The sequence below is a fragment of the Homo sapiens genome, chromosome 1, assembly GCF_000001405.40.
Source record: "Homo sapiens chromosome 1, GRCh38.p14 Primary Assembly".
In the NCBI taxonomy this organism is placed as follows: domain Eukaryota; kingdom Metazoa; phylum Chordata; class Mammalia; order Primates; family Hominidae; genus Homo; species Homo sapiens.
Genome location: NC_000001.11, coordinates 41143663 through 41156838, shown reverse-complemented (window position 1 = coordinate 41156838; position 13176 = coordinate 41143663). Strand labels below are relative to the sequence as shown.

The 13176-nt window shown below is 36.9% G+C and overlaps 1 protein-coding gene across 42 annotated transcripts in view, besides 1 other annotated feature; it reads left to right on the top strand.

Moving 5' to 3' along the window:
• Positions 1–13176, top strand: part of SCMH1 (Scm polycomb group protein homolog 1) — a 215105-nt gene that overhangs the window by 85468 nt on the left and 116461 nt on the right. For 24 of the 42 annotated variants that reach the window (XR_946584.3, XR_007096354.1, XR_002959761.2 and 21 more), the window contains one exon: positions 5155–5225. The exons of 6 other annotated variants lie outside the window; for them this stretch is intronic. Coding sequence is in view for 22 of the 36 variants with exons in the window: in XM_047449591.1 (XP_047305547.1) it covers positions 5155–5225 (71 nt within the window). In the remaining 14 variants the exon portion in view is untranslated. Of the gene's footprint in view, positions 1–4097; positions 4241–5154; positions 5226–13176 lie in introns of all 42 variants that reach the window. 12 more of the 42 variants (NR_135092.2, NM_001394309.1, NM_001394301.1 and 9 more) reach the window with 1 other exon arrangement.
• Positions 11–200: a silencer, noted in NCBI's record as "fragment chr1:41622311-41622500 (GRCh37/hg19 assembly coordinates)". NCBI's record gives its function as "represses an EF-1alpha promoter that drives an FKBP-Casp9 reporter gene in an ReSE screen in K562 erythroleukemia cells {active_cell/tissue: K562}" and the evidence as "EXISTENCE:reporter gene assay evidence [ECO:0000049][PMID:32094911]".

Genomic DNA, 13176 nt, shown 5'->3' with positions numbered 1-13176 from the left:
ATCAGTATGTTCTTTCTAGAGGATATTTCAGCAATATATATGTTGTATCAAAATCTAAACTATGCATGCTCTTTGTCCACTAATCCCACCCTTAGGACAAATCCCAAATCTGTGTCTCATGCCTGTAATCCCAGCACTTTGGGAGGCCGAGGCAGTTAGATCACTTGAGCTCAGGAGTTCGAGAACAGCCTGGGCAATTTGGCATAGCCCTGTCTCTACAAAAAATACAAAAATTAGCTAGGAATGGTGGCACACACCTGTAGTCCCAGCTACTAGGGAGGCTGAGATGAGAGGATCGCTTGAGCCCGGGAGGTCAAGGCTGCAATTAGCTGTGTTCACACCACTGTACTCCAGCCTGACACTGACTCAAAGCAAGACCCCGTCTCAAAAAAAATAAAATAAAGACACTTAAATTACCATCAGTGGCGTTTAACAAATATATTGTTATTTAAATTTTGGTACATGGAACACTATTTATACGGTAATAGTGGAGTGGAATTTCTGATCTAAAGATGTTGATTATGCTTAATTGTTTTTAAGAATTTGGGTTCACATTTAGGTTGAACAAAGTAGAGTTCTTGTAAAGGAATGTGGCCAGAACAGTAGCCAGACATGAGTAGCCAGCCTGTCAAATTAGGAGCAGTTGAGGGATTTGGGACATAGAGATTAGATATATCTAGGACCAGTAGAGGTTAGAAGGCAGATGTTGGCTGACTATAAAGAGCGGTCTGTCCATTTGTACTGTTGAGTAATAGCTAAATAGCTAAATAATGAGTGTCCCATGACTGGAAGTATTTCAGCAGAGGCTGGAAGGACCATTCAAATCTCAGCTTTTTTTTTTTTTTTTTTTTTTTGAGACGGAGTCTTACTCTGTCACCTAGGCTAGAGTGCAGTGGTGCGATCTTAGCTCATTGCAACCTCCACCTCCCGGGTTCAAGCAGTTCTCCTGCCTTAGCCTCCCAAGTAGCTGGGATTATAGGTGCCTGCCACCACGCCCAGCTAATTTTTGTATTTCTTTTAGTAGAGACGAGGTTTCATCATGTTGGCCAGGCTGGTCTTGAACTCCTGACCTCAGGTGATCTGCCCGCCTCAGCCTCCCAAAGTGCTGGGATTACAGGAGTGAACTACTGCGCCCGGCCCAAATGTCAACTTTTGTATCACCTTATCAAGATGTCTTTTTTGACTGCCCTGGCTAAAATAGCACACCTTCTTTACCTCTTACTTTTATTTTTTTAAATTTCAAAATAGCCAGGAATTGTATAATTAATCTGGTGTCTCTGTTACCCTCTGGACCAGCTGACGTATTTGTTTGTTTGTTTGTTTGTTTGTTTTTGCTCCATGTGGAGCAAAATATTGTTTGTTTGTTTGTTTGTTTGTTTTTGCTCCATGTGGAGCAAAACATTGTTTGTTTGTTTGTTGTAAGCTCCATGTGGGCAAACTTTGGCTGTATTGTATTTTGCTATATATCACCAGTGCCTAGAACCAGGCTTAACATATACTAGGTATTTAGTAAATATTTGCTGAATGAATGAATATTAGAGAAGGTGATTCATGCATTTAACTAGGTGACCTCTTATGCCCATATTTTATGGGCCAAGGTACTTTAATGCCATTTTTAAGTCTCTTCAGGGCAGGTACCTTTTTTTCTTTTTTAATAATAAATGTAACTATCACGTGGTATGCATCAGAGTTTATAAAAACACTTTTATAAGCATTATTTACTAAATGAGATGGCTTTTTCTCATCTGTAAAGTCTTAGCTTAGACATTTCCTCTGAAGAGTATCTGTCCATGACTTTACTAAGATAGCTCCCAGTCTCTATCACATCACCTCATTTTATTCCCTTCAAGTTCTTTTCACTTACTGCCTTGTTTATTTATTGTTTATGTGTTAGTTGTGTCTCATCATATACCAGCATGTAAATGAGGGCAGGGACCCCTGTCATATTGCCTGGCACATAGAGGATAGTTAATAAGTATCTGTTGAATGAATAATTGAAAACATTCAAATTATACTGTTTGAATATTTTGAATTATAATGTTGGAATAATTGAAAACACTCACATTATATATGTTTAAATTATAAAACATTATACCTATGTTAGTTAATAATATTAATCTTCGTAATAATCTCTGAGCCCAAGGATGAATGAGATTTTCATGTTCTGCAATCTCAAGACAACCTGTACTACCTCGTAAACTTTATCATTATCATAACAGATTATTTGTGTTATGTTTATTAATGTCTCTGTTTATCTCTAGACTGAAAGCTCCATGAATTGAGAAATCATGTCTTACCTTGTTCCCCTAACATTTAACACAGTTCTTTGTACTTGGAGAAGTTTAAATATTTATTGAATGAAGAATCTATATACAATCTTGTAAGACAGATATTGTCTTCATCTTTCACATGAGTAAACTTAGGCTTGGAAGGATTAAGTAATTTACCCAAGATAGTTAGCTGTAGAAACAAGACTTTTACCAACATCTTCAGACTCCCAATATTACATTATTTAAACTACACCAGTAGTAGTTCTTAGTCACAGATGTTAATCCAAATTACCTAGGGAGCCTTGGAAAATACATATTCTCAGGCCACACTTGGAGCCTACTGAATAAGAACTTCTGAAGGTGAGGCCCAGAACTTTGTTTAAAGAAATGAGACTATAAGTATCACTTGAGAGTCAATGATTTATACCAGAGGTCTGGCAAACTACTATTGGGAGGTCAAATCCAGCCCTCTGCCTGTTTGTGTAAATAAAGTTTGAGTGGAACAGCCATGCTAATTTAGGCACACATACTGTCTGTGGCTGCTTTCACACTGGAGTGGTGGAGCTGAGTAGCTATGACATAGACTGTATGGCCTAGAAAGCATAAAATTTTTATTATATTGTCCTTAACAGAAGACTTGCTAACTCTGGATCTATACCTTGGTGCCTGTCCTATTTCTTTTGTGGTTACTTTAGTGCTTGGAGATATGGCAGAATATTATGTCTGGCTTCATCATGGGCATTACAATAGGTGTCCAAACATTCTTACTAAGTCATAAAAATTATCTTATTTTGCAATTCACCTGATAATAAGGAACTAAGCCTTAGGTAGCCCAAGAAGTCAAATAAAAGGAAAATACCATCTAGGTATGGTTCAAGCCAGTCAGCCATCACAGTGGGTGAACTACTTTAAACAGAGGTTCCTTTTCATCCAGTTAGTGATAGAGTGTTTCCTAAGTGGTAAAAGGGCTGAGGTTTCTAGCCTGTGTACATTACAGAATAGGGATTGATTACCATGGTTGATATGTATAATGGAGAACTGTAATTAATACCCTAATTGTTGTGGTACCCCTGATGCTGCCATTATTCTTAAGACCAAAGTCTCTTTGGTGCTTTTAGTCAGAACTTAAGCTAATATAAGCAGTTACCCAGGACTGACCAAAACTCTTGATCTGTGCTTCCTAATACAGTAACTATTAGCTATGTGTGGGGATTTAAATTTAAGTTAATTAAAATTTAAAAAATTTAGTTTCTTACGTACCCACATTTCAAGTATCCAATAGTTATGTGGCTAGTGGCTACCTTATTGGCTAGCACAGATACAGAACATTTTAGTCAGCACAGAAAGTTTTATTGGACAGTGCTGCTCTAGATGCCAGAGTTGAAGATTCTCAATCCAGGGAAATCCAAAACTTACTATTTGATTTAATCTTTCATTTGTAAGGATGGAATAATAAATTGTAATGTTTTATTTTTCTAACAGCAAACAATGATGAAATGTATTCAGTCCTTGCTTTAGGGCCCTGTCAACTAGAAGCAAACTCTTCATTAAATTCTGATAACGCCTTTAAACCTTGACTTCAGAAAATAGTCATCTCATTTGCCCTATGGACTAACTGTCTAGTCATGTTGATTAATCATCAGCTAGTTCATGAAATAGTTCAGAACTGACTGTGATTTCTGGCCAAATCTATTTGGCTTAGTTAAGGGTAGTGGGAAAGGAACCAGTTATAAAACAGAAGCTATAAAATAAATAGAGTGTAAAGTCTTGGCATCATCTTTGGAGTGATTTAGATTTCTTCATTCAGTGACTCATTTTTATTCCCAGCATCTAGTGCTTTTTGCATGGCCCAAAGGGGCTCTGTGCTGCTCCACTACAGAGGAAACTTCAAGAAATGCTGGTTTGCTACAGTGTTTTAGCTTGTGAGATTCTCTGGGACCTTCCCTGCTCCATCATGGGGTCACCTCTAGGTGGGTATTAGGGGGAGACTGGTAATTGGTTTAACCTTTAAATAAAGAACTTGATAATCTTTAGTGATCCAATGAGGTCTGTATCAAATGTTCCTGCCTTAAGATGTTTTCCCTTCCCCCAGCACAGTGTCACCTTGAAGATTGTTTATCTAGGACAGTGTTCTTCAAACTTTTAGAGGCTGTAAGGCCAGTTCAAGAGGCTAAAAGATTCTACAGACTCCCCAGCTTGTTCTTATTTACTATCATCAGACATGCTTCCCAGGTCCTACTTTGCTCTAAATTAACAGTTCTTTGTCACTTTGCACCCCAGAGCAACACAGCGGTGGCTAGGATGGGGGTGCAGCGGGGGTAGGTGAGAGAGAGCCAGTTTTTAGAGTGAGGATTCAACTATAATCTCACTCATCTGGCTTCCCCTCCCCTCAAATCATCTCGCCCCTTGTCTCTAGACAGCCTTTTCTTCATTCTTCCTGAGCTGAGATGCTGGAATCCAACCATATTGGGTGTTAAAAGCTGCCACTTGACAGCGGTGAGGGACCTTTCCAAGAGTCAGATTGTTCAAAAGGAATCTCCCCACCCACTTTCTGCCTCTTCTATTCTGTTTTCCATTAGCTTCCTGGTCACTTCTTTGAAGTACTAGTATATCTTGCTTTGGCATTTTGGATCACTTTAGGAATGAACATAAATAACACCCTAAGCCATCTTTAGACCATTATTTTAAAACGTGAATCTAAAACATCCGCTCAGGTCACTTAGATTCTTCCCCTTAATACTCCTTTGAGCTCAAACAGGAAAAAAATTATATTTTTTATGCTCAAAACCAGTCTACAAATAGCTTACTGTTTAGTGTAGATTATACCCTGAAAACATTTTTTTTAGGAAGTTGACTGTGATATAGATTTCTATTTCCTTTACAGGTCATTTTACCTGGGACAAATACCTAAAAGAAACATGTTCAGTCCCAGCGCCTGTCCATTGCTTCAAGCAGGTAATTGATTTTCAACATCTTTAGTAGGTGGAAGATAAGTCATTTTTTTATGGTTTTTAGACAATCAAAACAGGAGGTGGAAGCCCTTGGGCTTCTTACCTGAGGGCCCCAGAATAAACTTCTATGGGAAGAACACAGCTCAAGAAGTAAAATTTGGTCACTGTGAGTTTTGGCAGCAGACATTCTTTCCACCTTCATCCCAAGTAACACCCTTGCCTCCTTCTTTACCTCCTTGAGGATATTCTGTGTTACTGAAAACAACTGCTAATTTTTACTAGAGCTCTTAATTCGGACAGGAAAGAGAGTTATAGTCCATAGACATTGTTGAAAATGGAGCAGTATTTCTTTCTCTGTACTCAGCACTCCTGTCACAATCTTATCTTTCTACAAGAATGTTGACACTGAGTCCCACTGTGAAGCATCTCAGGAGCTCATCAGAGGTCATCCAGAGTTTCCCAGAAGGATTAAGTAACCCAGACAATGCACAGATGGTATTGACTGTGTCAGTGTTTGATATGGCTGATAAGCAAAGAAGTGTTTGGTGCTAAACAAAGTTAAACGTCAGGAAGTTACCTACAATCCTTTCCTTTAGTACTCAAGGGTTATTTCCTCAAACTGTCAACATTTCAGGTTGAGTTTGAATTTTGTCTGTTTTCTTTTTTTTTTTTTTTTTTTTTGAGATGGTGTCTCACTCTGTCGCCCAGACTGGAGTGCAGTGGCGCAATCTCGGCTTAATGCAAGCTCCGCCTCCTGGGTACATACCATTCTCCTGCCTCAGCCTCCCGAGTAGCTGGGACTACAGGCACCTGCCACCATGCCCGGCTAATTTTTTTGTATTTTTAATAGAGACGGGGTTTCACCGTGTTAGCCAGGATGGTCTCGATCTCCTGACCTCATGATCTGCCCGCCTCGGCCTCCCAAAGTGCTGGGATTACAAGCATGAGCCACCGTGCCCGGCCATAGAATTTTGTCTGTTTTCTAAGTAGAAATACAAGTTCAGGACTTCTGCTCATTTGAAATAAAAGGGACTGAATTTATACTTCCACCTGAAACAATTTATTTAAAAAGACAACATATGTTAATAATGGTTTGTTTTGTTTTGTTTTGTTTTGAGACAGAGTCTCGCTCTGTCACCCAGGCTGGAGTGCGGTGTCTTGATCTTGGCTCACTGCAACTTCTGCCTCCCGGCTTCAGGTGATTCTCCTGCCTCAGCCTCCCGAGTAGCTGGGACTACAGGTGCACACCAACATGCCTGGCTAATTTTTGTACTTTTAGTAGAGACAGGGTCTCATTATGTTGGCCAGGCTGGTCTCCAGCTCCTGATTTCAGGTGATCCACCCACCTTGGCCTCCCAAAGTGGTGGGATTACAGGTGTGAGCCACCGGGCCTAGCCAACAATGGTTTTTAAGTCACTAAAAATCAAGCAGCCAAACAGTGATCTCTGAGAGAGAGAAAACAAATGAGTTGAGCTACCTCTATGATTTTCTAGCTTACTGTCTTAACAGTTTCCAGACCATGGCCCAGGGAAAGGGAACTCATGTTGAGCCCAGCAGACTCCCTAATTGGAGGAAATGGAAGAAAAAAAAAATGTGAGTCCAGAGAAACCAAGGTGGCTAGAATTTTTAGGACAGAGTGTCAGGAGGAGAAAGCTGCACACAAAGAAAACCACAGTGATCTTCAGAGGGTCCAGGAAAAGACTACCATTTTATAAATGCATATGAGAAAACTACCTAAGGCCAAAGGAAAAAACTATCTGAAAGGATTCAAAGGAATAGAACCTGGCACTCACACAGGGCTGAGAATAGTTCCTGATCTCACCAGCTAGACTAGAACATCTCATAATTGATTGGGCACTGGGTATGATACTCAGGAAGGTGTTGCTCATATTGGAAAATAATTAACCTTAGCCTGAGTATTGCTTCAGTCCGGCCTGACAAATCATAAAGGTAAAACTCAAGAAGATCAAACTACTTCACAAATAACTTAACTGCATCGAGGAACAAAGCCCAAGAAGATTTATAGGAATGCAAGAATATCCAGTACCCATCAGGTAAAATTCACCAGATCTAACTTTCAATCAAAGACTACCAGGCATGCAAAGAGGCAGGAAAATGCAACCAATAATCTAGAGAATAATTGATTGAAACTGACTCAGACTCTATACAGATCATAGAATAGCAGACAAACACATTAAAATAATTATTTTAATATATTTGTTATATTCAGATATTAAGCAGAGACATGGAAGATATTAAAAAGACTCACTGGGCTACTATGTGGGAAATGAAAAATACACTAGATTGGATTAATGCCAGAAGAAATTAGTAAACTTGAAAACATAACAATAGAAACTATTCAAAATGAAACACAAAGAGAAAAAGGAATTTAGAACCTGTGAACTATGGGTTAACTTCAGGTGACCAAATAGACGTGTAATTGGAGTCCCAGAGGAGAGAAGTGATGGGGGATAGAAAAAATATTTGAAGAAATAATGGCTAAAATTTTTCCAAAATTAAAAATAACAGCTGGGCATGGTGTCTCAGGCCTGTAATCCCAGCAATTTAGGAGGCTGAGGTGGGCGGATCGTGAAGTCAGGAGATTAAGACCATCCTGGCTAACACGGTGAAACCCCATCTCTGCTAAAAATACAAAAAAATTAGCCGGGCATGGTGAAGGGCACCTGTAGTCCCAGCTACTGGGGAGGCTGAGGCAGGAGAATTTTATGAACCTGGGAGGCGGAGCTTGCAGTGAGCTGAGATCATGCCACTGCACTGCAGCCTGGGCGACAGAGCGAGACTGTGTCTCAAAATAAATAAGTAAATAAATAAATAAAACTATAGGTCCACAGAATCAAGAAATTCAAGGAATCCCAAAGATAATAGAAGAAAACTACTCAGAGGCATATCATAATCAAATTGCACAAAACCATTGATAGAGAAAACTCAACAGCAGCCAGAGAAAAAAGACACTTTATATATAGGATAACTAATGTAAGAATTATATTTCTTGTCAGAAACAATATAAGCAAGCACAAAATTGAACAACACCTTGAAAGTACTAAAAGAAAAATAAAAAACCTGTCAACCTGGACTACTGCAGCCAGCAAAAATGTCTTTCAAACACAAAGGTGAAATAAAGATATTTTCAGATTTACAAAAGCTGAAGGAATTCATTACTCACAGACTCACACCTCAAGAAATGTTAAAGGAGGTTCATCAAGCAGAAAGAAAATGATATCAAATGAAATAACAGATCTATACAAAGAAATGAAGGTCACTGGAAATTGTCATTATAAGGATAGATATATAAGATGTTTTCTTATTTAAATCTGTGTAAAAGATAATTGTGTAGACAATAACCGTATATTGTGAGGATGATAACATATAAGTAAAATGGATGATAAGAGTAGCACAAAGGCAGGAAGGGAGGAATCTTAAGTATACTATTACAAGGTTCTCATGCATGAAGTAGTACTATCTTACTTGATAAGGTAGACTGTGGTAAGTTAAAGATGTTTGTACTATAAACTCTAATGCAACCACTAGAATAATGGGAAAAAATAGCAAAATGTTTTATTTAAACCCAGCTATATCAATAATCAAATGTAAATGGTTTAAATGTTAAAAAGCGGAAATTGGCACATTGGATAAAAAGCAAAACCCAATTATATACTGCCTTCAAAAACTTACACTTTTTTCTGTTTCTTTACTATCGAGCTTGCTATGATTGGAAAAATTATGCTTTAAATAGGTTAAAAGTAAATGTATGAAGATGATGTACCATGCTGACATTAGCTATAATAAAGCTGAAATGGCTATATTAATATCAAAGTACACTTCAAATAATATTAACAGGGTTAAGGAAGTTAATTTTATAATGATAAAGAAATCAGACAAATCCTGACATGAAGCAAAAACCAATAGAACTATTAGGAGAAATAGATAAATCCAAAATTATCTATAGTCAGACTTTTAATACTCCTCTCTGTGTAATAAAAGAACAAGTAGAGAAAAAAAATCAGCAAATATATAGTGGATTTGAACAACACTATGAACTAACTTGACCTAACTGACATACATAGAATACTGTCCAACATATGTAGATACACATTCTTTCCAAGTACCTGCATTTCACAAAATTAAATGTCCATTACTAAATAAAAACTCTCACCAAACTAGAAATAGAAGGGAACTTTCTAAATCCTAAACTCTAAAGGGCATTTATTAATAGTCTACAAAGAATATCTTACTTAATGGTGAAAGACTAAATGCTTTCCCCTTAAGATCAGGAACAAGACAAGGATATCTGCTCTTGCCACTTTTATTCAGTATTGTATTACCAATGCAAATGGGCCAGAAAAAGAAATAAAAGGGATCTGGGTCGAAAGATTTAGAACAAACACCAAGGAAAATGTATACAGGGCAAATAAGTACATGAATAGAGATGCTCAATACCATTATTTCATTAGGGAAATACAAAATAAAAGTGATTAGTGAGCTATCACTATACATTTATTTAAATGGCTCTGATTTTCAAAAGACTGACCATATTAAATAGTGGCAAAGATGTAGAACAAATGGAACTTTCATATGCTGCTGGTGAAAATGCAGAATGGTTCAACTACTTTGGGTGGGGTGGGGGAGGAACTAACAAATACGAAAAATTTATATAAAGAAAACCTTAGAAGATGCCTGACCAAAATTTTGATTCATTAAAAAAATAGAGTGGACTTTGTCAAAATTAAGAACTTCTGCTCTTCAAAAGATACTGGTAAGAGAACAAAAATACAGGTCACAGACTATGAGAGAATAGTTTTGCATTGCTTAACGATAGGGATATGCTCTGAGAAATGAATTGTTAAGCAATTTCATCGTCGTGTGAACATAGAATATACTTGCACAAACCTGGATGCTATAGCCTACTACACACCTAGACCATAGCCTATTCTTCCTAGGCTACAAAACTGTCCAGCATATTACTATACTGAATACTGTAGGTAGTTGTAACACAATGGTATTCGTCTATGTAAACATATCTAAACATGGAAAAGGTACAGTAAAAAAAAAAATATGGTATAAAAGGTATATTAAAACTTGTACACCCGTATCAGGCACTTACCTTGAATGGAGCTTGGAGGACTGGAAATTGCTCTGGGTGAGTCAGTGAGTAAGTGGTGAACTGCGTACCACTGTCAACGTTATAAACGCTGTACACCCAGGCTACACTAAATTTATTTAAAAATTTTTCATTCTTCAGTAAAGAGTTAACCTTAGCTTACTGTAAATTTTTCGCTTTATAAACTTAATTTTTTAACTTTTTTGACTCTTATAATAATACTTAGCTTGAAACACATTGTACAGCTGTAGAAAAATAATTTTTAATTTTTTTTTTTTTTACCTTTTAAACTCTTTTTGTTAAAAAACTTAAGACATTACCCTAGGCCTACACAGACTCGGGATCATCAGTATCACTGTCTTCCATTTCTACTTCTGAGCCTACTGGAAGGTCTTCAGGGACAGTTACATGCATGGATGGAGCTGTAATCTCCTATGGTAACAATGCCTTCTTCTGGAATACCTCCTAAAGGAGCTGCCTGAGGCTATTTTTTAGTTAACTTTTATTTTCGTATAAAGAATACACTCTAAAATAATGATTTAAAATATATAGTAAACACATAAACCAGTAACATAGTCAATTGTTATCAAGTATTATGTACTGTACATAATTGTATGTGCTATACTTTTATACAGCTGGCAGCACAGTAGGTTTTTTTACACCAGCATCACCACAAATGTGAGTAATGTGTTGCTCTAGGACCTTAAGACAGCTGCATTATAACTAGGATACAGGAATTTTTTAGCTCCATTGTAGTCTTATGGGACCACAATCTATACATAGTCTGTTTTTGACCAGACATCATTATGCAGAACATGACTATATTTGCAAATCACATAACTGACAGCATTATTTTCCAAATTGATCTGTAGATTCAACACAATCTCTGTCAAAATCCCAGCTGCCTTTTTTGCAGAAATTGACAAATTCATTCTAAAATTCTTACAAGAGACCCAGAATAGCCATAGCAATCTTGAAAAGAGAGAACAAAGCTGAAGGATTCACATTTCCTGATTTCAAAACTTACTACAAAGCTACAGTACTTAAGACATAATGGTTCTGGCAGGAAAATAGACATATAGATCCATGAATTAAAATTGAGAGTACAGAAATTGACCCATCAATTTATGATCGATCGATTTTTGACAAGGGTACCAAGACAGTTCAGTGGGTTTTTCAACAACTGGTGCAGGTACAGCTGGTTATCCACATAAAAAAAAGTGAAGTTGGACTCTACCTCTATGCCATATACAAAAATTAACTTCAAGTGGATCATGGACCTAAATGTAAGAGTTAAAACTGCAAAACTCTTTAAAGAAAACATAGAAGGAAATCTTCATGACCTTGGATTAGATATTATAACACCAAAAACATAAACAACAAAAGAAAAAATAGATAATTTAAACTTCATCAAAATTAAAAGATTTTTGTTTCCACACCATCAGGAAAGTGAAAAGAACAACCCACACAATGGGAGAAAATATTTGAGAATTATATATCTGGTAAAGGACTTGTATCCAGAATATAGAAAGAACTCTTAAAACTCGGAAATTAAAAGACAACATGATTTTAAAATGGACAAAGAATTTGAATAGATATTTCTCCAAATATATACAAATGACCAGTTAGGCACATTAAAGATACTCAGTAGTCATTAGAGAAATGCTAATCAAAACTGCAATGAGATATACATCACATTGACTAGATGACTCTAACATCAAAAAGACAAACAATGGCAAGTGTTGGTGAGAATGTGTAGAAATTGGAACCCTTGTACATTGGTGGTAAAATTATGAAATCCTATAGCTACTTGAGAAGACAGTTCAGAGGTTACCCAAAGTGTTAAACAGAGTTACCACATGACCCAGCAGTTTCACTCATAAGTATATACGTAAGAGAATAGAAAACATGTCCACAGAAAAATATACCATAAATGTTTATCACATCATTATTCATAATAGCCAAAAAGAGGAAACAACCCAAATGTCCATCAGCTGATGAATGAGTAAGCAAAATGTATATCCATACAATGGAATATTGTTCATCAATGAAAAGGAATGAAGTACTGATACACTCATTGACATGGGTGAACCTTGAATCCATTTTGCTAAATGAAAGAAACTATTCACATATTGGCCACACATTATATAATTCCATCTATATGAAATGTCCAGAATAGGTAAATCCATGGAAACAGAAAGTAGATTAATGGTTTCTAGGGACTGGGCTGAGAGGGTAATGGGGAATGACTCCACTGGGGCAGGGGGTTCATTTTGAGGGGATTATGGAAATGTTATAAAATTAGATAGGGATGGTGTTTACACAACTCTGAGAATATTCTAAAAATCATTGAATTGTATACCTTAAAAGGGTTAATTTTCTGTTTTGTGATTTAAACATATACCTACCATGTGATCCAGCCATTTCACTCCTAGGTATTTGTGCAAGAAAAAAGAAAGTGTATTTCCCTACACAAAAATTTGTACTTAAATGTTTCTAGCAGCTTTATTTGTAATCGCCAAGAGCTGGAACAAACCAAATCTCCGTCAGCATGGTTATACCACTCAACAATAAAAGGAAATGAATTACTAATATGGATGAATTATCAGAGTAGTTATGCTGAGTGAAAGAAGCTAGACAAAAAAGAAAGTACATCTTCTATGATTCCATCTAAGACTAGAAAACGCAAAGCAATCTACAGTGATAGAAAGTAGATCATTGGTTGCCTGGGTGCAGAGGTCCTGGAGGGGCCAGAAGAAGAGATTACAAAAGAGCATGTGAGAGCTTGAGGATAATGGCCATGTTCATTATTTTTATCGTGGTGATACTTTCACAG